The following is a 22,246-nucleotide window of genomic DNA, read 5'->3' as shown; positions in this document are numbered from 1 at the left end:
TTACAGAAGAATAATTCCTCAGTACGCTCTATTTGTTAATCTCTCATCTACGGAAGAAGAATTCTTCAGTACACCCTATTTGTAGGCATCCACACTCTGGGATTTTTAGTTTCACATTCCTTGGTCCAAAGACCTCCCAGTGCTACACAACATCATCTTAAAAATTCTGCATCATTGCCGGGCATGGTGGCTCACACCTGTAATCCCAGCACTTTGGGAGGCCCAGGCAGGTGGATCACCTGAGGTCAGGAGTTCAAGACCAGCCTGGCCAGTGGTGAAACCCCGTCTTTACTAAAAATACAAAAATTAGTCAGGCATGGTGGCGGGCACCTGTACTCCCGGCTACTCGAGAGGCTGAGGCAGGAAAATAGCTTGAATACGGCAGGCGGAGGTTGCCGTGAGCTGAGATCGCGCCACTGCACTCCAGCCTGGGCAAAAGAGCGAGACTCCTTCCCAAAAAAAAAAAAAAAAAATTGTGCATCATTGGCCGGGCGCGGTGGCCCAGGACTGTAATCCCAGCACTTTGCGACGTCGAGGTGGGCAGATCATGAGGTCAGGAGATCGAGACCATCCCCGCTAATACGGTGAAACCCCGTCTCTATTAAAAAATACAAAAAATTAGCTGGGTGTGGTGGCGGGCACCTGTAGTCCTAACTACTCAGGAGGCTGAGGCAGGAGAATGGCGTGAACCCAGGAGGTGGAGCTTGCAGTAAGGCAAGATCGCACCACTGCACTCCAGCCTGGGCAACACAGCGAGGCTCCATCTCAAAAAAAAAAAAAAAAAAAAAAATTGGGCATCATCTTTTTATTCTGCATCTGTTTTCAATTTAACTGTGCACCACTCTGAAGCCTCTGTCCCATCATTACTCAGTCACTTCAGATTATTCTTGCCTGGCTCAACCTTTATTACTGCCGAGCTTCTCGGACCATGTACTCAAACTCCACACAAAGACAATTACTGCCAAAAACAATGAAGCAAAACTATAGTATTTCATTAAACAGAGTGCTACATGGGCAGAAACTTGTAAGTGCCATCTGTTCTACAGGATTTTTCACTTAATAAAATACGCTGGAACCGGACCAACAGAAGGCCAGCTACTGGAGGCCACCCGCCAGGAAGGAACGCACATCGCCACGGCAGAGCTTCCTCTTAAAGGACATCCATGAAAAAAGAACCTAGCTACAGAAATGATTTTCCTCTGATTTGCTGGCCACTGTCAGCAGACTCTTCAAATCTCCTAGAAAATCTAGGACTGTCTAATAAGAAGTACTTACATTAGCTGGTAAATAGACTCCTCTCCTTCCGGTGTTAAGATCAAGCACAGAACTTCCACCTTAATGAGCGGCTTTGTTGTTAATGGAAAGCAAAGTTACTTAGAAGGTTTGGTTGAAGAAGTAAAAAGCTGCAAAATTACTATCTGTTGAAAATAAAAGAATGCAAAAAGTGGTATACTAGCTAAGGAAGGAATCCACTGTTTGCTGTCTCAGTTTAACCTTCACCTAATGATCTGTCGAAACATGCCCTCCAAAGATTTAAATTATGCAAGTATAGCTTGCTTTACCAGCAAAAATCCTAATAATTTGCATTCCACTCTTTAATTATGTATTTAAGTTCCTGGATATGGTCTGAAATCTTTTATTAGAAAACTGTTAACTCCAGACTTCAAAGTCCCCCTTATGGGACCTACATACACTAGAAGAGATGTTTTCCACCCAATCGGCTTCCTATATTCTATTTTCCACATAAAAGCAGGTAACCAATCCGCGGTGGTACTCACCTAGCAGGGGAGCAGCATAAACCATATTGGACAAAGGCCTAAGACAACAGTCCTCGAACCTGGCCACACCTTAGAATCAGAGCATCCTCAGGCCACACCTGCAACAATTCTGGCTTCAGTGGTCTAGGGTGGAGTCCAGGCCTCATTTAGCATTTTAAACACTTCCTGTGTGATTCTGACTTACAGTTGGAGTTTAGAATCACTGTGTAGGGGCATTCCCGTGATCCAAGTAAAAGCTCCATCACTACAGGCAACTGAGGAGGTGGGAGAAACTAAGCAGAAAACAGGAGGATGAGGGGAGCTACTTCTCCATTCAGTTATGCCTCCCAGTTAAAAAAGAAATTATAAAATAATTTGAGATAATTACTCACTATATAAAGTTGATGAACAACATCCAGATGTCTTTAAAATGGGAACTCTTTTAGTGCTTTTAAGGGTTTACTGATCATTAACAAGTTAATAAAGGCAAAAACAACAACAACAACAACAACTAAACTGGCCGGGCGCGGTGGCTCATGCCTGTAATCCCAGCACTTTGGGAGGCCGAGACGGGTGGATCATTTGAGGTCAGGAGTTCGAGACCAGCTTGACCTACATAGTGAAACCCTGTCTCTACTAAAATACGAAAATTAGCTGGGTGCGGTGGCGGGCGCCTGTAATCTCAGCTACTCGGGAGGCTAAGGCAGGAGAATCGCTTGAACCCAGGAGGTGGAGGTTGCAGTGAGCTGAGACTGCACCACTGCACTCCAGCCTGGGTGACAGAGAAAGACTCCTTCTCAAAAACAACAACAACAACAAAACTAAAAGAAGAAAAACTTTTTTTTTGTTTTTTTGTCAGACAGTCTTGCTCTGTTGCCCAACCTGGAGTGCAGTGGCGCAATCTCAGTTCACTGCAACCTCCGACTCCTGGGTTCAAGCAATTCTCCTGCCTCAGCCTCCGAGTAGCTGGTATTACAGGCATGTGCCACGATGTCTGGGCTAATTTTTGTATTTTCAGTAGGGACAGGGTTTTACCATGTTGGCCAGGATGGTCTTGAACTCCTGACAGGTGATCCACCCGCCTTGGCCTCCCAAAGTGCTGGGATTACAGGCGTGAGCCACCGCACCCGGCCAGAAGAAAAACTATAATGCAACTAAATTAGAAGTAATATGACAGAAAAATTAAACTCCTGCCAAACACAGTGGCCCACACTTGCAGTCCCAGCTCCTCAGGAGGCTGAGGTGGGAGGATCCCTTGAGCCAATAACTTTGAGGCTGCAGTGAGCCATGATTGCACCACTGCACTCTATCTTGGGTCACAGAGTACAATCCTGTCTCAATAAAATAAATGAACTCACAAGCAACTCTTCAGAAATGTCTTCTGAACAAAAGACATTTCTTTTGTAATTAAACTCATCTCTCATTTGCTTTTAATTCACTGAAATCTAACTTTCACTACCAACACTCCACTTTCTCAAAAATAACCTTCCAATCCAAGATTTTCCCTTCGCAATGTAGTCAAGTTCTCTGAAGCATCTACAACTCTATAAGACAAGTAATCTCCCAATCTCTCTCTCATCATTGTTCTTCCAATCTCTTAGGTAAGGAACTTTGAAAATACCATAAATTATATACCCTTTCCATCACAAATACCCTAACGTGATCACGAATCCCAAATTTCTGGGACCATCTCAACAAAATATCAAAATGTTCAGAAAAACTGCATTTGGCAAGAATAGCAACTGAATGAATTAAATTAAGCATTACAGTAAATTAATCCGTACTGAAATCACATACACCTGAGGACCAGAGACTAGGACCTCAATGAATCAAAGGCAGTAGAAGCACTTTCCTGAACACACATAACTCAGGAAGATTACTAAGAAGTGATGCATCTCCTCTTCAACTCTACAGTTACTATCCAGCACAGGCCCTGATGACTCCACCTATGCCTGGGTATCTGCAATAACCTAGGTAGTGGCCTCCTCCTACCTACCTAGTAAAATGCTTGGCACCTAAGAGACTAGCAAATGCTGACAGAATGGCTCACAGTCACCAAACAGCTTGTCACCAAGCTAAATCGACACTTATTGAGCACCAATGACATAAAAAGGACATTAAAAAGCAGTTTAAAATGTTTAAGCAATGTGTCCTGCCTTCAAAGAACTGGGGTCAGGGAAGGAGGACATACAGCTAGTGTGTACTGAATGTCCATTATGCTCTAGACAATGTTAAAGGCATTTAATCAACATATTTCATTTAATCTGCACAAAATTTCTAAAAGGGAGGATTCCTAATCTTTTTTGGGTGGCAGCAGACCTCCCGAGAAACTGATGTAAGGGAATTAGGCCCACCCCCTAAAGAATGCATGTACACACATTTCTGCGTATGATTTCAGAACTTCACAGACCCTCTGAAGCTCCCGAAGCCCAATACGACCTGCTACTCAAAGTGAGGTCACCAGGCCAGCAGCCTAGGAATTACCTAGGAGCTCAGACAGCGCACAGGGCCCACCCCAGGTGTACTGAATCTAAATGTGCACATTCACAAGACCCGCAGCTGATTCTCAACGGACTTTTAAGTTTGAGAAGCACTGCTATGCTCTATCTCATGTAATCCCGAAGCTCTACTATGAAGCAAGCACACTGCTATCACAGTGACTGTCCCTATGGCTCTGGACTTCTATTTTAAGTTGCGTAACCATTTATCATCCAAATTAGAGGCATATCTCAGAGTGAAAGGATCATTATGATGAATTATGCTGGGATAAGTTTAGACCAGGACATGCGGTCACTCCCCATGTAATTGTAAGGTGTATATAAAGGTAGAATCTTCACTCTTCAACTTGGTGTAATGGGCGTCTCTGCCTACCAACCTTGCCGAAGGTCGTGCACCTAAGATCCCAGTAACTCTGCATTTATTCATTATTCTGCTGATCAGCCTTCGTGCAGGCAGCTCCCTCTTCCCCCATGCTCTGAAGAAGTCCTACTTGTCCTTCAAAGCTCAACGCAGGCATCACCTCCTCAGGAAGTGTTTCTAAACCCTATTTCTGCCAAAGCACTGTTCATATTTCATAGTAATTCTCATTTACCTATGTCTCTGTGAATGAACTGTTATCTCCTTGTGTCAGTCTGTATTTCGTCCACTGAAGCACAATACTGAGAATCTAATAAAGATTTGCTGAATGAAGATGAAAAAACTTTAAAAGTTCAGAGAAACCAACCTTGCCTGAGATTCCACAAACAAAATGGAACAGGATTGGAACCTGAGGCTGACCTCAAGGCACAGACACATTAACAGTTAAGGAACAATAATATTTAAAGAAGACTGTAAGATGCAATCAGATAGTACAGATGATTTGCCAAGGAGAAAGGACAATCTTCCAGTCTGAGGAGTCCAGGAGGAACTGGCATATCTGGAAAAGGAGAGGGGGGAGAGACATTACGCTCATGTGGGACAGTAGCGAACTGGCCAGCTCCCCTTCCTACCCTGTGGGATAGTAGTCACCCAGTTCAGAAGTCAACACACCCCCACCCCCAGGCCAGATGGGAGCCCTGCTTGGCATACCACCCTCCTCGCCACAGTGCTCTGGTTGAGGGACGACCCAAAGGGCAAGAAGCTCAGGACACTGCCTAAAATTCTGGGATGCACACTCACTCTCTTGGTCAGGCTGGTGTGACGGAGGCTGTGCCCAAATGTGAAGCCTGAAACTGCTGTGGCCATTCCGCCATCGTGGGGGAAACTAGCCCTGGGATAATACTGACAGGCAGAATGAAAAGATGAAGAAATGAAAAGTGAAAAAATGAAAAGAAGCCACGTCCTCAAAACTGTAACTAAACGGCTGAATTAAACCAACTTTGAAGCCTGATCTACCTCTGGAATTTCTAGTTACATGAGCCACTAAATCTCTAGTTTATGGTGTAAGCCAGTTAGAAAGCTGAGCTCTACTTGTTTGTTTTTTTAAAAAAAAAAGGGAGGGCACCCTAACACATAAATGGGGTAAGCAAAAAGGGAGATAAAAGGATAGTTGGGCAGCAGTGACCAGAGGATTCATATAAAGTAGTAAGGTCACCCAGGTGGACTCACTGGCTCATGCCTGTAATCCCAGCACTTTGGGAGGCGGAGATCCTATTCCTTCTCAAGACTAGCTCATTACCCATCTTCATTCTCTGAATTACTACAAAAGAACCTGCCACATGCACCACATAATTCAGCACTTAATTACACATCTTGTAACGTGCCCAGTTGTTTCTTATGCCTTAGCTATCCATTATACACAAAGGTAAGGATGCTTTGGTTATCTTCCTGGATATCTACAGCAATAGCTGAAATAGTTGGCCTTCACCAAACATAAGTCAGCTTATTGATATTTTATAAATGGGCCGGGAGTGGTGCCTCACGCCTGTAATCCAAGCACTTTGGGAGGCCTAGGCGGGCAGATCACTTGAGGTCAGGAGGTCGAGACCAGACCGGCCAATATGGTGAAACCCCATCTCTACTAAAAAATATAAAAAGTAGCTAGGCATGGTGGTGCATGCCTGTAGTCCCAGCTACTCAGGAGGCTGAGGCAGGAGAATCGCTTTAGCACAAGAGGCAGAGGTTGCAGTGAGCCGAGACTGCGAACTGCACTCCAGCCTGGGCGACAGAGCAAGACTCCATCTCAAAAAAAAAAAATAATAATAATAATAATAATAATCAGAACTTTTTAAATATTTTTCAAACATTTCATATGTAGAACTTGTTTTTGATATTACTTTTAAAATTTAAAAAAATTCATGTTTTAAATATCCACTAAGTATCTTCTTAATATCCCTTAGCAAAATATCTCTCTCCCTTCACCCCAAAAATAATCAATGAATTAAGGACGTTCATCTTCCAGTTTACAATAATGTGCTTAATTTGCTCTAGGAAATAAGATAAATTCACAAGTAACAACTAAAAATTGGACCAAAAAAACCTGCCAAACATTACCATTTTTAGTATGCATAAACTATAACTTGTGAATACGCTGCAGTCCTTAAAAAACAATGCTGAAGATTAAGTTAAGGCTCTTGAGATCTAAAAAAAAAAACAATCGCAAAGGAAAATATTTAATGGAAAAACATTCAACAATATAAGAAATGCAAAGCCGTGCACGGTGGCGCACGTCTGTAGCCCCAGCATTTTGGGAGGCTAAAGAGGGAGGATGGCCTAAGCCTAGGAGTTAGATGGTGCAGGGAGTGAGCTACGATTGTGCCACTCACTCCAGCCTGGATGCCAGAGCCAGACCCCATCTCTAAAAAAGAGGAAGAAGTGGGAAAAACATTTTACTAAACAAGTGTCATTCCACATTTTAAGGAAGAAACTACTATACCATGAACAAACCACAACGAGCTGGCTCCCGCCAGCCACCCACCTCCCGCCACCCTAAGGCCTGCCCCTCCTCTAGGCACTGTTCAAGCCCTCCACGCTTCTCAACTGGGTCTCTGCAACAATCTACCTCCGCCTCTGTGCTCACCCCTCACCCTCCAAACTGCATGTGGCCACCACAGAGCTGTCTCTCAACTGAACCTTACTATTCTGGTGCCCAGGAAAAGCCTTTCTAGTCTCCCAGAACTTTTCAGGCTAAAAGGCTCTAGCAGAGCCTACAAGACGCACCCATCCACCTTCCCAGCCAACCCCCAGTGCTGCAGCCCCGACAACTCTCCACGTCCCAAATGCACTTCAGCGACACGGCACACGCCAGGTCTTTCTGCTTTGGGCGCCCTTCTCTTGGGACCCTGCTGGCCTGGCTGACTCTGCAAACTATAGAACTCAGTTCCAAAGGCTCATCTTTGTGAACTATTTTCCTCACAAACATGAGCCAAGGTGTCCCCGGGGACTCTCCTGTGATGGTCTCTCTAATTCTGGATCCTAACAGTTGATTCTCTAGCTTCTTTCCCACACCTGACTGTGGGCTTCTGAATATGTCCACTGTGGTATGTCTTTCATGAAGGTGTTTGTTAATAAATATTTACTGAGCACTCACCACATTCTAGGACTAGGGGCCCCAGCAGTGAACAAAGCAAACAAAAACCCCTGCCCTCACGGAGCTTACATTGGGGCCTCAAGGAGCTTACATTGGGGGAGGACGAGAGAGTGAACCAGACACACACGTCAGGATAGCGGGTATGTAGGGTATTAGGTGTGAAGTGCTCTGGAGAGGGAGCAAGCAGACAGGGTGACAAGTGTGAAGGAGGGCGCAATTTTAAAGGTGGGTAAAGTGGGTGTAAGAAGATGGCCCAGGCACAGAGACTCACTGAAAGTAGGGGAGCAAACCACAGGGACAAAGGGGGCGAGCCTGTCTACAGACAGAGGGTCTCGGGGACAGACAATGTGTTCCCCTCCATTTCTGTACCAACAATGCCTGGCACATAGCTGAGTTCAATAAATAACTAGTGGGTGAATGGTGGCATTGGCTGAGATATCTAAGGTCACAAAGGTGGGGGAAAGATAAACTAACTGTGGCAAACCAACCGAAAAGCTCTTTCCATGTTCACTGGTGACACATAATTGGGCCCTGTACTGGAAAGGCTGGCTGCTCCATGGTTCTTGCATTTGGGGGACAGCTGCATTTGCTGTAAGCAGGCCTGCGAAGATAGATCACTGGCATGCCCACTAACAATCCTGGAAGAGCTTTAGTACACGGAGCCCCCACAGCCAAGCACTTGCTGGTAACTCTGGTGAAGGCATTCTCTCTGCATTGCTAAGTGTCCTATCATCTCCAGACTACACTTGCTGAGAAAGAGACCAAGGAATAAAACCAAATAACTTATATGTGACGTGCGGGTCAGTCACCTGGATTCAAGAAACTACACAACAGAGGTAAAGAGAGCACTGAAGAACCTGAAGAGCAGCTTAGGGGTCACTCATGCATTCTAAATGCAGAAATGACAATCAAGGTGATACTGTGGGAAGCAGCCACCTCTTCTTCATCAGCTCTCATTACTATTTCTATAGACGGCAAATCTGCCCCTCGGGGTCTTGCATGCTGTGGTCCTGAACTTCATGCCTAGAACTATTATAGAAACACCAAAAACAACCATAAGCAGTCCTGAAAACAGTGAATGACAACCAGCTGTTCTCTGTTTGCTTCAACTGGTCCCTGCCAATTAACCGATCCAACAGACAAACACCTGAGTGCCCACTGTGCTAGGCAGTGGGGACACTGGGGCAGCCAGACCATACCAGACTCAAGAAAGCCTTCCTGACCCGAAAGAGCAGCCAGGCCAGCGGCTGCTTCCGGCTCATCCATGTGGTGTTGGCCTCTGCATAAGGCACAGTCTCCCCAGGCAGAGCCATGTCTTCCTTCCGCTACTCTCAGGACAGGACCACAAGGGCCTCTGTACACAGCTGACTGCCTCCTGAGGAAGGACAGGGCATCTACAGAATCAAAGTATAAGGGCCCTCAAAGCCTGCCATACACACAAAATACTGCGATTTCTTTCCCTTCTCACAGAAAAGAGATCAACTGATGAATATGCTAACTTAAGTCTATGTTTCCACCCAAAAGCAGCAAGGGCAACGAAGCACAGCTGCAAGGTGTTTCTGTCCACCTTAAAAAGCAAAAGCCACCGGGCGCGGTGGCTCATGCCTGTAACCCCAGTACATTGGGAGGCTGAGGCAGGCGGATCACTTCAGGTCAAGAGTTCAAGACCAGCCTGGCCAACATGGTGAAACCCCGTCTCTGCTAAAAATACAAAAATTAGCCAGCCATGGTGGCACGCACCTGTAATCCCAGCTACTCAGGAGGCTGAGGCCAGAGAATCACTTGAGCCCCGGAGGCAGAGGTTGCAGTGAGCTGAGATCTTGCCACTGCCTGGGTGACAGAACAAGACTCCATCTCAGACAAAAAAAAAAAAAAAAAAAAAAGCTAGCCCTTCCTCACGCCTAAAACTCTAGTTATAGGTGGAAGAAAAGTTTCTGCTGCTGGCACCTAACTTAGAATACATTGTTGTGGCACAGAAGAGCAAAGAGGTAAGAAGCAACAGAGAACCAAGCGTAATTATTTCAGCACCAGTTTGGGAAAAACTAGAGACTAGAATTTCCTCACCTGACGAATCCATGAGCAACAACAGCAAAAGAGAGCAGGAATTCCCGATGGTAAATTGGCTTAATGCTATGCACACATCCTCAGAGATGTTGACAACCAGGCTTCAGGATGAATTATAAAGTTCCAGTTCTCTGGGACATCAGATGCTCACAGTTACACTGAGCTGTGGGGGAGTGTGCTGATCCCATGCTGTCCACAAAGGTCCTATTTCAAGATGTGGGGTGCAGAGCAACAGCCAGAGCAGCTCTTAAGGTTCTGGGGAACACATGTGTACTTACATTTTTAAAAACATGTTTTTTTGCAACTTATAAATCCCAACACGGGCCCTGGCACAGAGCAAGTACTGGGTAAATGCTTGCTTAAAAGGCATAATCATGGACTTAATGAATGCCAAGCCAAACTGAAATCTCGTTCTGAAGACACGACATGACAGCTCTTCAAAGTGGCAAAATGTCAGGTTTCTCATCTGCTCACAACTGTTCCACCATTCCACTCGGCGCTAAAATAAGTGAGTATCACACTCAGAGGGAGGGGCACAATTCATATTTTTGTTGTTGTTCACGCCTAACCTAGACTGGAGATGTAACACTTTGTCCAAAATACGATTTCGTTATTGCTATTCATGCGAAAGGGCTCAACAAGTTAAAACAAAAAAAGCTGTACACAAACCCATGCGGACGACCTGCAACCTGAGCCTGGCTCAGACGGCCTGGGGACCTGCTCACAGGGATCCTTACTCAGTGTCTCTTGGTGGCACCCAGGGTGCCAGGTGATTCTGGTATTAGAAGAGGGCACTCGAGGATCACAAACCTAAAAACGCTGTTAAATCCAATGATTCCAAATTTCTAAAGTTTACTACCAAAAGTACTACAGGAAACATTTAAAATAAGGTAACAAGTCACCTAAGTTTTCCTTAATATTTTCTACGAATATAATCAAGGGACAGATGCTTGTTTTTAAAGGTGCCTCCCCCTCAAAATAAAGGGAATATGTCCCTAAATGACCTTCCCTAACTACTCTATCCAATTACCACTGAGGACACTGAAGGGCTACCTGCCTCACATTAATCTGTCTCAAAAGTCCCCAAAAGAAATGCCCTACTTCTTTCCCCTCAAAGTTATGAGGCTTAAGATGCCAAAATGAGCAGAGAGTAGAGTCCCAGCTATGGAGGAGAGCCTAAAGAATCAAATCCCTGACAACTTTCGAAGCATCTAAGTAAGACCCCTGCACAATCAACTCAACCCAGCAATCTTTTTTTTTTTTTTTTTTCCGAGATGGAGTCTGCTCTGTTGCCCAGGCTAGAGTGCAGTGGCACAGTCTGGCTCACTGCAACCTCTGCCTCCCGGGTTCAAGCGATTCTCTTGCCTAAGCCTCTCAAGTAGCTGGGATTACAGACATGCGCCACCACGCCCGGCTAATTTTTGTATTTTTAGTAGAGATGGGGTTTCAGCATGTTGGCCAGACTGGTCTCAAACTCCTTACCTCAAGTGATCCGTCTACTTCGGTCTCCCAAAGTGCTGGGATTACAGGCGTGAGCCTCGCACCCGGCCTCAACCAGCTATCTTAACACAGAGTTGCTACCAACTTCACTCAGTCCTGAGCTTGGATTACCAAATTCTTTCTCTCTCCTCTCCAGACTCCCGGCTAACCACTTCACCCTACACACCATTTCAGCCACAAATTTATCTGTTTCCCAAACAGGCTGCAGGCTTTGAGACAGTTCCTCTGCACAGTCTCCTCCACATGCCCTTGTCCGTGTGCTTCTCTGCCTGAAAAACTCCAGCTCAAATGTCACCGTTCTACAAGAGACGTCTTCCCAGCTTTGCCCAACATTCAGTCCCACTCTCCTCCTTTTTTGAAACACCTTATACCTAACTCCTGAGTCACGCAACTTCTCTCCACCTCCACGGCACCCTCCGAGTCAAAAGTCCAAGGACCCTGCCCTAAATGATCTCCTTATGGCCACTGCGACCCCGTGAGTCTATTCTTCACTGGGCAGAGTATGATCCCAAAAGGCAATGTGATTATGAGGTTCCATGGTCAAATGTTGTACCACCCCCTCTTCCACACTTTTCTCAGAATAAAGACAGTAACATCTAACAAAGGCTGCAAGGTTGGATGGTGCGTCTGTCCCTCCCCTCCAGCTCTGTGCCCAAGACACACAACTCCTTGCTGAGTTCTCCAAAGTGCTCCAAATTCCCTCCAGCCAAAGGTCCACCACACATGCTGTCCCCACTGTCTCATGCTGTAAACACGTCACTTCCACGGGAACGGTTCTCTGACTTCAGATTGTGTTCCCTTCCTTTGGGAAACATCTCTCAGTTTGGAGTGACGTGTACGTAACTGTGATTATCTGATTAGCAAGCTGTCTTCCTCAATGGACCCATAAACTCCTCCGCGAGAGAAACAATGCCTGTTTTCGCTCATCACTCCCTCCTCAGTGCCTGGTACACAGCAGCCACTCGGTAACTATTTGCTGAATGAATGAACAAACGAATGAATGAATGTTCTTGACTATGTTGTTCACACTTGTGTTACAGGAATTACCACCCTAAAACTGGATGCACCCAGCCATTAGCCTGCTTCTCTCCCTCACTACCCAGCGAACCTCTAAAGCACAGGAATTCTCTCTTCAGCTCTATACTCCTAACGTCCGGCCACCAAAATCTGTGAACAATCACAAAAGATATAAAGTCCTTCATATGTGGTTCTGAAAAAAGTGTCTAGTATTCTACAAATTAATTCTAAACAAAATAGTAAACCACACTTGGAAGCCCCGATTTTGCATTCTATTACAAGTCAGAAGTACTTAAATGTGGTTATCTCTCAGGAGTGGGACCTGAGTTGGGAAGTGTTTTGTTTTTTGCCATTGCAGTACTCTGATGAAACAAAGTGACAGAAGACAAAAACATGATTTTGAAGAAGATGGAGAAAAATTCAGGTGAATTACCCAGTTTCTCATTATTCCCTAGGGCAGGTGACTTACCAATCTCCAACTAATAAAAAGTTTGTCCTCTCATAAATCTAGTGCAAAGGCAATGGATGGACAAGAATCTGAATGTGAATCAGACCTCCTTTTTTGTTTTTTGAGATGGAGTTTCACTCTTTCGTCCAGGCTGGAGTGAAGTGGCGTGATCTTGTCTCACAGCAACCTCTGCCCCCACGGGTTCAAGCTATTCTCCTGCCTCAGCCTTCGGAGCAGCTGGGATTAAAGGTGCCCGCCACCACACTCGGCTAATTTTTGTATTTTTAGCAGAGATGAGGTTTTACCATGTTGGCCAGGATGGTCTCAAACTCCTGACCTCAGGTGATCCACCCACCTCGACCTCCCAAAGTGCTGGGATTACACGCGTGAGCCACCACGCCCAGCCAGACCTCTTTTTACACTATGAACACCGGACAGCATGACTACTACTAAGGGGGTGGAAGTCTTCAAAATATTTCTTATCTTTTCTTTTTTGACGTAAGAGTCTCGCTCTGTCACCCAAGCTGAAGTGCAGTGGCACAATCTCGACTCACTACAATGTCCACCTCCCAGGTTCAAGCGATCCTCCCACCTCAACCTCCCAAGTAGGTGGGACTACAGGAGAGCACCACCATGCCCAGTGAATTTTTGTATTTTTGTAGAGAAAGAGTTTTGCTACGTTGCCCAGGCTGGTCCCAAACTCCTGAGCTTGAGTGATTCGCCTGCCTCAGCCTCCCAAAGTGCTGGGATTACAGGCGTGAGTCACTCACTGCACCTGGCCCAAAATATTTCTTAAGAAAAAAAAAAATTGTTTGGACAACATGTTATAAGTTGTGGCAGCACTTCCACAATCCCCTGCACACTGGATCCTGATAAGTCACTTCAATCTCCAGAATATCTGCTTCATTCCCTGGCAAAATTAGGTAAACCTAAGAAAACTGACTTCAGTGGATGTTTTCAATAATTTTGAAAACAAGGTTTGCTCAATAAAGTTCAGTGACTAGATACAACAGACCATATTATGAAACAACGGAACAACAACAACAAAATACTCCAGTGGAAAAAAGCATAGAAGACACACACCAAACTGACGATTAAGGATCAGAGAGGAAGGGAATGACTTCTACTTTTCACTTTAAATACGTCTGTGCTGTTTTCGTGTCTTAAAAATAGCATGTCTTTATACTAGAAAATAAAATAAACGACTTTATTAAAATGTACCCCACACAAACTTTAGTGAATAGTAACATATTATAGTAACAAATTTTGTAATTAGTAACATTAAAGTTTCTAAATGCACATTTCATTCATTCATTCTGTAAATGTTTATGGAGGAACTACTAAGGGGAAGTCACAGTGTGAAAGATTATGCCTTCATCAGTCTCTTCCAGAAAACCAGTCTGGCAAAGTAGAAAAAGCAAAGGATTTAGAAGTCAAAACACCTGCTTTTAAAAGGTCCTGATGGCCAGCAGCCATTTGACCTCAAGCCACAACCTCTCTGGGTCTTATCTTACTCATCTGTAAAATGGTTATAATAATACAGGACAGAGTTGCTGTAAAGGCTCAAACAAGCTAAGGCACTTTCTAAACTATGCAGTTTATAGAGTTTATAGGCTTCAAATGATGACTACTACAATGCTTAGTATCTCGTAATAAATATGTTTCTCCTTCTCCAATGATCAGATCTACCCAGAAAGCCTACTTCAGGTCTTGAATAAATATATATATAGTCTTGGCCCGGCGCGGTGGCTCACGCCTGTAATCCCAGCACTCTGGGAGGCCGAGGTGGGCAGATCCCGAGGTCAGGAGATGGAGACCATCCTGGCTAACACCGTGAAACCCCGTCTCTACTAAAAATACAAAAAATTAGCTGGGCGTGGTGGCGCACACCTGTATTCCCAGCTACTCCGGAGGCTGAGGCAGGAGAATGGCGTGAACCCGGGAGGCGGAGCTTGCAGTGAGCCGAGATTGCGCCACTGCACTCCAGCCTGGGTGACAGAGGAAGACTTCGTCTCAAAAAATATATATATATAAAAATATATATAAATATAAAAATATAAATAAATATAAATACATATACAAATAAATACATATAAATATATATATAGTCTTTGCAGCCACGTAAGGGAAATTATTACTTAAAATACCAAGAGAAGGGGTATATAGGAACTCTTTGTACTTTTCTCTCAATTTTGCTGTGAACCTAAAACTGCTCTAAAAAATGAAGTATAAAAAAATTGTTTTAATGTATCAGAAGTTTTTTATATTGGGCAGGAATCTCGAAAACCTCTAGAATTGAACTTCATTTTCAAATCCTCTTCTATTTTTAACCAAAACTTCAACATGTCCTATCAAAAGTAAAAAGACTGATACTTGCAGAATGAATAGGGAGGCTAGGCGCGGTGGCTCACACCTGTAATCCCAGTACTTTAGGAAGCTGAAGCAGAAGGGATCCCTTGAGGCCAGGAGTTCAAGACCAGCCTGGGAAACACAGCAAATCCCTGTCTCTACAAAACAACAACAAATTGTTTTTTTCAAAGAATGAGTAGGGATGCTGGGGGCAGTGGCTCATGCCTGTAATCCCAGCACTTTGGGAGGCCAAGGTAGGTGGATCACCTGAGGTGAGGAGTTCCACACCAGCCTGACTAACATGGTGAAACCCCGTTTCTACTAAAAATACAAAAAAATTAGCTGGGCGTGGTAGCAGGCACCTGTAATCCCAGCTACTTGAGAGACTGAGGCAGGAGAATCGCTTGAATCTGGGAGGTAGAGGCTGCAGTGAACCCAGATCGCACCACTGCATTCCAGCCTGGGCAACAGAGCAAGACTGTCTCAAAAAAAAAAAAAAAAAAAAAAAAGCAAGCAAGGGCATGATTATGTCTGTACTCAACATACACAAATGGAAAGGAGCACATCTTCATAAAACAAAGACAAATGGGAAAACAAAAATCTAGCACCATCAGATCAGGAAGAAAGAAAGAGGGAAAGGGACGGAGGGAGGAGTCAGCTAGATGTAAAAATCAGGTTCAAAAGGCACAGGAGTGGCTGGGTGTGGTGGCTCACGCCTATAATCCCAGCACTTTGGGAGGCCGAGGTGGGCGGATCGTGAGGTCAGGAGATGGAGACCATCCTGGCTAACATGGTGAAACCCAGTCTCTACTAAAAATACAAACAATTAGCTGGGCATGGTGGCGGGTGCCTGTAGTCCCAGCTACTCAGGAGGCTGAGGCAGGAGAATCACTTGAACCCGGGAGGCAGAAGTTGCAGTGAGACAAGATACCGCCAATGCACTCCAGCCTGGGCGACAGAGCGAGACTCCGTCTCAAAAAAAAAAACAAACAAAAAAAACAAGGCACAGGAGTGGGGACACTCACCTTTTTATTAGGGATACTCTCACTTCAAAATGGACTGGTTTTGAGACTCCTGAGCCATAGAGTACAGGCTTAAGGAGATGTCCCTCCAGCTAATACCAGAAAAATAAACTGAGAATGGATCCGAAGAATGACAACCGATAAGGCTGTACACACAAGCCCAACGGGGAGGAGACTGAGGACTCTTAGGAGCAGCCACCATTACAGCGCAGACGGTAGCAGGTGCTGGGCCCGCACTCCACATGCACATTCTCCTAACAATTCTCATGTGAGCCCAAAAGGGAAAGTCGAGGAATTCAGGCTGTAACAGCCCCAAACCACATTTCTATCTCAACACCTTACCTGCCCTATTCCAGGAGAGGGCAACCAGGGCATGATGTTTCAAGACGGGACAGAATGGCAGTGCTGGTAGAGCTTCTGGGTTCTCAAGTCATCTGATGAAAATGGGATCATGGCCCAGGAGCTTTCAAATAGCCAGAAAATAGCCAGTTCAGAAAAAATCTAGGATCTGAAGATTCTACATCGAGGTTTATGATAAATTCTACATTTTCTGATCCTTGAAACAAATACTATACACATACCCCAAGGGCTACCTTTATTTTCCTACACTAATTCTTCATCCAGCCTGTATTGACAGAAATGGTCAAAGAAAGACCTTTTGGGAGAACACTTCAATAAACAGGAAAACTGCAGTCCAAGCACATACAAGTCTCTGGAAATGAACATCTACACTGCTGAAGTGGCACTAAAGTGACAAATGACAGTAATCCAATGGCCCAAGGCCAGCAAATTCCATTGCAAACAGATTTATCTGTTTTGTGCGATGGTGATTCTTGCATGTGTGGCAGTAAATAGAAAAGTAACAGCCTAATTACAAATTCAAAAGCAAGCTCTTCCCACTACGTTTCATATTTTGGTATAGTACCAGTAATAAGTGTCCTCAGCAACCACGTTTAATGTGCCACCTGAATACCAGGAACCATTAACAGGAAGTACCTACATGTCTGAAATTATATCTTTAAAAACAAACAAACAAACAAAAAACCGAAACAAAAACCCTGATGTAACTAATTCAATTGGAGATGATACCACTTTTCTCAATTACTTGAATGTTATATTCTGAGCACAGCACAGTGCAACGTGCCGCTTAGGCTTGGCATTAAACAGCAATCATTAAGCTTCGTAATCCTTTTCTCCTTTAAGTTTTCCTATGTGAATCACTGCTTAAATCCTATCAGTTCCACGTAACAGAACACTGGAATACATGTCCTAACTTTTGCTTTAGTGAGGAATTTAGAATGTGGTAGGCCCGCTTAGTATTCACTGGAATTTCAGTGCGCTGTGCTCTCAATGAGATGGGCTCAAGAGCATGATGGTGAGGTCCTGGTACGGCGCGGCTGCTCAGGCCATCTGTACAAACCACTAAGGCGACCACTGGCTCACAAACTTCTCAGGCCATCTGTACAAACCACTAAGGTGACCACTGGCTCACAAACTTAAAACATCTACTCTTAGGACATGTTTAAATAGCTTGCTGTCACTATGCAAAGGAAAACTGTTATCTCCAAATGCCCTGTCAACATTTCAAACAATTGTATTTACTTCAGCTGCTCATTACTTGAGATTCTAATAAAAATGTATCTCTTTTAAGAATTAACACTAATCCAGCTGTTGGCTAGAAACAGATATTCAGCAATACAGTAACATTCAGCCATATGCTAGAGGGGGAATCCAAGACTTTCCATCATGTAAAATGTGGAGGATCTGCTATTACAAGCTAAAAAAGAGACTGGGGTGAGTCTATGCAGAGACAAGGACAGAAGCCAACTGCATGACATTCAAATTGGGTGTAGGAAGCATTATTGTGGAGATTTCACTATAAATGACATCAATAATCACAAATATTTTTTCGGTGTAAGGCAAAACTAATAGCTTCAAATTAATTACCCCAAATAATTTAACCGGTCCCCTCAGTGACAAGGATATTCACTTGGACCTACACTTCAACTGTTAAAGTTCATTTATTTGTCTTTGCTAAAATGCTGAGTTACCGGTCTCAAAATGTTTCCAAATTCTTCACTATTACACTTCAATACAGGTAACAGGGATCAACCAACACTTTCTAATATTTGGAAATAAGGTTATTAACCTATAAACTTTTTTATTTATTTTGAGATGGAGTTTCGCTCTTTTTTTTTTTTTTTTTTTTGAGACGGGAGTCTTGCTCTGTCGCCCAGGCTGGAGTGCAGTGGCATGATCTCGGCTCACTGCAACCTCCGCCTCCCGGGTTCAAGCGATTCTCCTGCCTCAGCCTCCCAAGTACCTGGGACTACAGGCGAGCTTCACCACACTCGGCTAATTTTTGTATTTTTAGTAGAGACAGGGTCTCACTATATTGGTCAGGCTGATCTCGAACCCCTGACCTCAAGTGATCCACCCACCTGCGCCTCCCAAAGTGCTGGGATTACAGGCACGAGCCACCGCGCTGGCCTGTAAACATTTTTAAACTGTAACTTTTTCCACCTCCCATTATTCTCAGTGACAAATTTAACTTTAACAAGTCAATTTTAAAATAAGACCTTCAATTTGCAGTTGTTATTCCCAACATAAACAAGTAATATACATACCATGACGCTTAATATCTGATAAACAATCAGTATTTGCTGAATGAATGAATGGCCATTAAGGCTGCAAGACTCTTAGGACAGTAGGCAACCAAGTAAAACAAATTTATTAAAACGCTCAGAATGACTGGAGCAGGAACCAGTAACTAAATCCTGTCATACATGATTCCATTACTTGTTTGCATTACTATTCTTTTAAAATGAAAATTATGAGAAATCGGCCAGGCGCAGTAGTGGCTCACGCCTATAATCCCAGCACTTTGAGAGGCCGAGGCGGGTGGATCACCTGAGCTCAGGAGTTTGAGACCAGCCTGATCAACATGGTGAAACCCGTCTTTAATAAAAATACAAAAAATTAGCCAGGCATGGTGGTGGGCGCCTGTAATCCCAGCTACTTGGGAGGCTGAGGCAGGAGAATCGCTTGAACCCGGGAGGCAGAGGTTGCAGTGGGCCGAGATCATGCCACTGCACTCCAGCCTGGGCGACAGAGCAAGACTCCCGTCTCAAAAAAAAAAAAAAAAAAAAAAAAAAAAGAGCGAAACTCCATCTCAAAATAAATAAAAAAGTTTATAGGTTAATAACCACAGCACTCCAGCCTGGGCAACAAGAGCCAAATTCCAACTCAAAAAAAAAAAAAAAAAGAAGAAGAAAATTATGAGAAATCAAACTATTTCCTTTGCTACTTTCTCCATGCTAAAACTTAAAAGCATTTAAATCATACTTTAAAAGAATAAACCCAAAGTGTTGCTAACATTTACGTTCCGCCAACTTTTGCTACTCCAATTTTCTAAAGATGTGTATAACGCTTTAGACTGTTGTATAAAACGTAAATACTGGGACAATGAATGCAAACGAAATTACAATTAAGTTTACATATTATCCATCCCCATTAATTAACATTTCAATCAACCTTGAATTGTGATTGATGCTTATTAAATAAAGGAAGTGAGCTATGCCTAAAGATGCTTTCTTCATGTCAAAATCACAAGGAATATTACACATTAATTCATAATGAGCCTTTTACTTGTTCATACCAATTCTAATAAGCTAGTTAATTAGGATTTAAGTTGAGAAAAAAGCAAATATCAAATCTTTTTTTTTAACAGAAAGGTCTAAACAAAGCTAAATACACCAAATCTCTTAAAATCTTTGGGCTATACATTTGTAAAAATTATTCAACTACTGATCCCTTTTTTGGCGCAAAGACCTACACTACTTACAAAAGTAAATGAATAAGGGAACAAAACGTTAAAGGGGGAAATTCTGATGCAAACTAAACTACAGCTAATTTAACAAAATTGAAGCTTGTCGTAAGATCTAATTTTTTAAAAAGTTTTCGCATTTTAGATTCCACAACACGCATTCATTACAATAGTTCCGAAAATCATGTTTCAAAAGAGGTGTAGTCAGATTGACTTCATCTGCAGAAGGGCAACAAAACCCAATTGCTCATGAAGGGTTATGATTTTACTCGCAATCAGTTTCCCGAATGGCTACTTTGTTTCATTTCCCCATATTTAATACAAATACACAATGAGATGGTTTAAAAGTGTGCAACAATTTATAGGGACCAGATGTCAACAAATTAGCAGTCTAAAGCAAGGCTGACAAATAATACATCATGCCGATTTTTGTCCAGAATAATTATAATGGCGGAGGGGGGAGAAGATGTGAGAGAAGGGGTGGGAGAGGGGAATAAGAGCTTAACTCTACACGCACATCTCCCAAAAAGAGCTCTTTCTTTCCACCACGGGATTATTGTAAAGGGCCCCCAAGCTTTAGCTACTGTTCAGGCAGGGTGCGTTAGTTGTCAGCCTGGCTGGGATGGATTCGTGCAAGGGATGTCACTCAAACGCAAGTGAAAGTACGGTCCTTGCGACTTATTTCGAGTTTTCTTTGCAACAGCAGCCCAAGGCCGCTACTCTGCTACTTCTATCTAAAAAACAGAAAATCGGCAACCCCCGCATCATCAATCAAGCTGAGAAAGGAAGCTCTTGGGGCAAAGGGGCAACAGGGCACCCCCAAATCTCTGAGGCTCGCTCCAGGCAGAGGCAGCAACCTGAGCTGCTCTGGGGCCCCTGCGCTCCAGGGGACTCCCGGAGCCCCCGGGCCGCCTCCCCCGGCCGGCGCGGCGGGGAGGGCCCCACTCCACACCCCGGGCTCGCCCCGCGGTCCAGCCCCAGGGAGGTTAACCCCTTCGGCGCCCTCCACGCCCTCCCCAAGCGGGGCCCGGAGCCCCCGCCCTTCGACCTCCCCGGGACTAGGGGGTCCGGGTGGCTCAGGGGACGAAGGCGCGGCGGGCGCGGAGGCGGCGGGTGGCTCCGGCCTAGGCCCGGGCAGCGTGTCCCAGCGCCCTCCCCCACTCCCACACGCTCGCTCCGGGCAGGGCGCGGACGCCCGCCCGCCGCGGCGTCCGCCCGCCCGGGGCTCGGGCCCCTTCCGGCCGAAGGCGCAGACCGGCGGCTACCTGCGGGCTGTGGAGGGCCATGGCTGCCCGTTTCATTGGGACTCCGCGATCCTCCGGCTGCTCACGCTGCTTCCCCCGCCGCCGCCATCTTCTCGCCCGCACATACACACTCGCATCGGCCGCCGCGCCTGCGCACTGGCCGCGCGCCGCGGGGCGCGGGGAGGCCGGCCCGCTGCTGCGCCTGCGCGGCCGACAGGTGGGCGTGCGCCTGCCGGGCCGCGGACATCCCCTGCCCCGCCTGGAGCCTGCCGGACTCTGAGCCCCGCGACCCTCGGGCGGAAGCGGCCGGGCGGCTGCACACCAGGAGCCCGCCGAGGCCTGGCTGTGGATCCGGAAGGGGAGAGGGCAGGCAGGTAGAGGTGGCAACGCCAAGGCGCCGGCGGGCCCGGCTCCTCACCTACTGGGGGCCACCTGGGCCCCCGGAGCCCGGGAGTCGCGGGCTGAGGTCGGCCTGGGGCCCACGAGCCGCCCTCAGCGTACCTGGGCCCGGGCCTCGGGAGTGTTCGCATTAGATCCCCGAGGAGGGTCTGGTTTATGAAGATCCCGTTGCCGCGCATTCATTCATTTGTTCACTCTTCATTCACTCCCCAAGTCCTGCCTGGGCGCCTGGGCCACGCCTTTGGCTAGGCATTAGGGGAAAAAAGCAAAACAGACAAAAACAAAACGTAGGGCATAAAAGCACGCGTAAAGTGCTTGACATGAGGCCTGGCAAGTAGCAAACACTCAGCAAGTGCTACGTGTTGCACACGTGCGTGCGTGTGCACGGGCAAACCAGCCTTGGGGGTCGTTGGTTCATTCATTATTAAGAAACAGGGGCCCCTGCCTAACTGCACTGTTTTCCAGCCAGTGGGTCCACCCTTGGGTTTTGGCCCCTTTTCTAGCTGTGATTTCAGACAAGCGACTTTCCTTCCCTAAGCCTTGGTTTCCTCACCTGTGAATAAGACAAATATGTCATAACGCGTAAGATTTCTGTGAGGTTCAAATTAGATTA

At 45.4% G+C, this 22,246-nt stretch overlaps 1 protein-coding gene across 10 annotated transcripts in view, besides 6 other annotated features; it reads right to left on the bottom strand.

Annotated features, from left to right (window-relative positions):
- USP10 (ubiquitin specific peptidase 10) overlaps positions 1-21,367 on the bottom strand; it is a 79,923-nt gene extending 58,556 nt beyond the window's left edge. For 6 of the 10 annotated variants that reach the window (NR_073578.2, NR_073577.2, XM_047434878.1 and 3 more), the window contains exon 1: positions 21,256-21,367. Coding sequence is in view for 3 of the 10 variants with exons in the window: in XM_047434876.1 (XP_047290832.1) it covers positions 21,256-21,291 (36 nt within the window). In the remaining 7 variants the exon portion in view is untranslated. Of the gene's footprint in view, positions 1-4,980; positions 5,173-5,414; positions 5,517-16,506; positions 16,628-21,255 lie in introns of all 10 variants that reach the window. The other 4 variants (XM_047434877.1, XM_017023868.2, NM_001272075.2 and 1 more) reach the window with 3 other exon arrangements.
- Positions 1,886-2,386: an enhancer, noted in NCBI's record as "H3K4me1 hESC enhancer chr16:84752587-84753087 (GRCh37/hg19 assembly coordinates)". NCBI's record gives its function as "activates a minimal SCP1, AML or CMV promoter by ChIP-STARR-seq in naive H9 embryonic stem cells {active_cell/tissue: H9 hESC(naive)}" and the evidence as "EXISTENCE:reporter gene assay evidence [ECO:0000049][PMID:30033119]".
- Positions 9,417-9,917: an enhancer, noted in NCBI's record as "H3K4me1 hESC enhancer chr16:84745056-84745556 (GRCh37/hg19 assembly coordinates)". NCBI's record gives its function as "activates a minimal SCP1, AML or CMV promoter by ChIP-STARR-seq in naive H9 embryonic stem cells {active_cell/tissue: H9 hESC(naive)}" and the evidence as "EXISTENCE:reporter gene assay evidence [ECO:0000049][PMID:30033119]".
- Positions 20,796-20,905: a silencer, noted in NCBI's record as "silent region_7794". NCBI's record gives its function as "represses an Ori minimal core promoter by ATAC-STARR-seq in GM12878 lymphoblastoid cells {active_cell/tissue: GM12878}" and the evidence as "EXISTENCE:reporter gene assay evidence [ECO:0000049][PMID:35858748]".
- Positions 20,946-21,055: a silencer, noted in NCBI's record as "silent region_7793". NCBI's record gives its function as "represses an Ori minimal core promoter by ATAC-STARR-seq in GM12878 lymphoblastoid cells {active_cell/tissue: GM12878}" and the evidence as "EXISTENCE:reporter gene assay evidence [ECO:0000049][PMID:35858748]".
- Positions 21,066-21,285: a silencer, noted in NCBI's record as "silent region_7792". NCBI's record gives its function as "represses an Ori minimal core promoter by ATAC-STARR-seq in GM12878 lymphoblastoid cells {active_cell/tissue: GM12878}" and the evidence as "EXISTENCE:reporter gene assay evidence [ECO:0000049][PMID:35858748]".
- Positions 21,376-21,895: a silencer, noted in NCBI's record as "silent region_7791". NCBI's record gives its function as "represses an Ori minimal core promoter by ATAC-STARR-seq in GM12878 lymphoblastoid cells {active_cell/tissue: GM12878}" and the evidence as "EXISTENCE:reporter gene assay evidence [ECO:0000049][PMID:35858748]".

This window comes from Homo sapiens, chromosome 16 (assembly GCF_000001405.40).
Source record: "Homo sapiens chromosome 16, GRCh38.p14 Primary Assembly".
In the NCBI taxonomy this organism is placed as follows: Eukaryota; Metazoa; Chordata; class Mammalia; order Primates; family Hominidae; genus Homo; species Homo sapiens.
This window is presented reverse-complemented; position numbering and strand designations above follow the sequence as displayed.